The 2327-nt window shown below is 41.6% G+C and overlaps 1 long non-coding RNA gene across 1 annotated transcript; it reads left to right on the top strand.

Annotated features, from left to right (window-relative positions):
- The first annotated feature begins 533 nt into the window (after window positions 1-533).
- Window positions 534-1810, top strand: LINC02103 (long intergenic non-protein coding RNA 2103). The gene is made up of 2 exons (NR_134265.1): window positions 534-558; window positions 1313-1810. It is a non-coding gene; the product is annotated as a long intergenic non-protein coding RNA 2103 (long non-coding RNA).
- The last annotated feature ends 517 nt before the right edge of the window (window positions 1811-2327 follow it).

Below are 2327 nucleotides of genomic sequence, written 5' to 3'. Positions count from 1 at the left end.
AGAGCCCTCTCTTGCTCTCTGCTCCACTTAAAACCAGCAACCTTCTAAAACACTGTGTAAAGCGTCAGAGTAGTATCCATAACCCCTCCAAAATCCAAGAGGCCCACTAAATGTTACATCTTTTTATTTTAGTGGCTGGAGGCTCAAAGTACAAAACAAATTTCATAAATTAGAAAAATTACCTGGGGATGGACCACTAGACTCACTTAAACATCACAAGTGTGGCAGATCAACTAATATTTGAAAGGTTTATATCTTACCCTCTGGTTTGCCTGTATCTTTCTCACCAGGTAAGAGTACATAGAATACATGTAACTTACTACTTCCCTGGTTGAATTAGCAGATCTATCCTTAACATAGTGGGTCAACATGACGTTTGTAGAATATCAAGATGGTCAAGGTTCTTTTGAACATTATAACAGAGAGCAGGAGAGTTAACAGACCTGTGACAAAAACAATTAAAAGTTTAAGAACTGAGTGGTGGAAGTAGGATAGTCCTTATCAACATCTTTCTCCCTGACCTACAGATAAATATATGTTCCTGTCACCACACACTTAGTAAGTAGGATCCAAAACTCTGTTCATAGAGAAAACAAATTGCACAAGGGGCACTTACCAAAAATCTTGGTCGATCACCTTGCCAATTTAAGTTCCTCCGGCCACTGGGCCAGTAGGAAAAGAAGGGAGATAACCTTAAATGTGTCGTATTGTAACGTCTAAGGTTCTTGCCTAGCCACGCCAAAGAATTGGCGTGGCGGCTGCCCGTGACAAATGATAGAGACATGGACCGATAGAGAGAAAAAGCTGTAGGCTTTATTCGGCAGAGTGAAAGTACAAAGCCTCCGGTCCCGAACGGGTAGCCACTGTTGGTTTTGGGTGATTGCCTTTTAAACTCTTTAAGGCGGGAAATACCTGCGGCAGGAAGATGTTACCAGAGGAAGAAATAAAGGCAGTAAATTATTTTGTGACATGTCCTAGATTTTGAGGAAAACCGGAATTGCAAGTTAGGTTTTATCTGCTTTATGACCTTGCAGCGGCATGGCAAAGGAGACAGGATCTTTTAGGACTTTACAAAGTATGTTTACAAGGAATTGGAATTGGAAGCATAGATAAGGTCCCCTGGTCACAGAAAAACGGGCAGTTAACATTCCTTTTAGTTTTAGGGGAGGGGGAAGGGAGAGAGGGAGAGAGGGCGCAGGAAAGCTTACAGCAAAATTTTCGCTCTTTATAGTTTTCTTGGGGAAGAAAACACATGCGCAAGTCCTGGAGTTAGGAATATTTTAAGCATATATCTTCAATATTATCCATGCAGGACCGAAGTAAGTCCTGAAGCAGGAAATCAGTGAGTTTCACAGCTTTCTGAGCCACTACGCAACCCAGGAAGCCCAGATGGCCCCTCCTTTCAGTATCATCAATCAGAGCTTAAGGAGGGCAAGATACTTGAAGTCTAACTCACCAAGAGGATGAAGTTCTCATCATTCCATCTGACGAACAAGCGAGAACTAGCCAAGTGCTGGCCAAAGGTGAGTCAAATCTAGAATGACTGATAAAGGAAGAAGATGATAAATATCAGTTTTGCTTCTGGGACCACCTGCAGTAACAAGGACTCCATCTTGTTTGCTAACATTTTTTATGTCTCTGGAGGAGACTGAAATTGACAACTACTTTGAAGAACTGAACTTGTTCCTTCTTTTCTGAGAAAGAAGCAAGGGTCTCTTTTTCTAATAACAGCTTTGGGTACCATATAAAGGCATAAGTGCTATTTAATTGGTATGAAGGGTAAACTAATAAAGATTCAGTTCACGTACCACCCAGAATAACTTGGATCTCATTCATTTTCCTGCCTTAGCTGCAGTGACTGACTCTCATCTCTGAACACGAGGAGCGGTCTCGGAGTAGTCATGGACCCAGAAATGGGTCTCAGGCAAGGCCACTGTTGTGCCCTCCTAAGCATGAGCTGTAGCAACGTCAGCATCCAGTCCAACTGGGCTAAACTCGGGTCCAGCTGGGAACTTCTGTGCCCCTAGGGGCCCAGATCTGGTGAATTATTTTTCTACAAAGATTTTTATTAATAAGAGACTGGAGATACTACATAGATGCGTCTTTCTCTTCTTCCCTCAAGGAACTGATCTGCTATCTGTGGTTCTGAGTAAACTCATAGACATATCACACGACAGAGAAATCCTATTTGTTTTCTTTGAAACTATGCTCAGTTTAATAAAACCCTACCTTTTATTTTCTGTCCTTTTTTCATATTCTTGCTTTTGTCTGATTTTCATGCCACCAATAAAAATTAGCATGTAAGAATTACCTCGTGCTCTACTTTC

The sequence above is a fragment of the Homo sapiens genome, chromosome 5 (genome assembly GCF_000001405.40).
Source record: "Homo sapiens chromosome 5, GRCh38.p14 Primary Assembly".
In the NCBI taxonomy this organism is placed as follows: Eukaryota; Metazoa; Chordata; class Mammalia; order Primates; family Hominidae; genus Homo; species Homo sapiens.
This window is presented reverse-complemented; position numbering and strand designations above follow the sequence as displayed.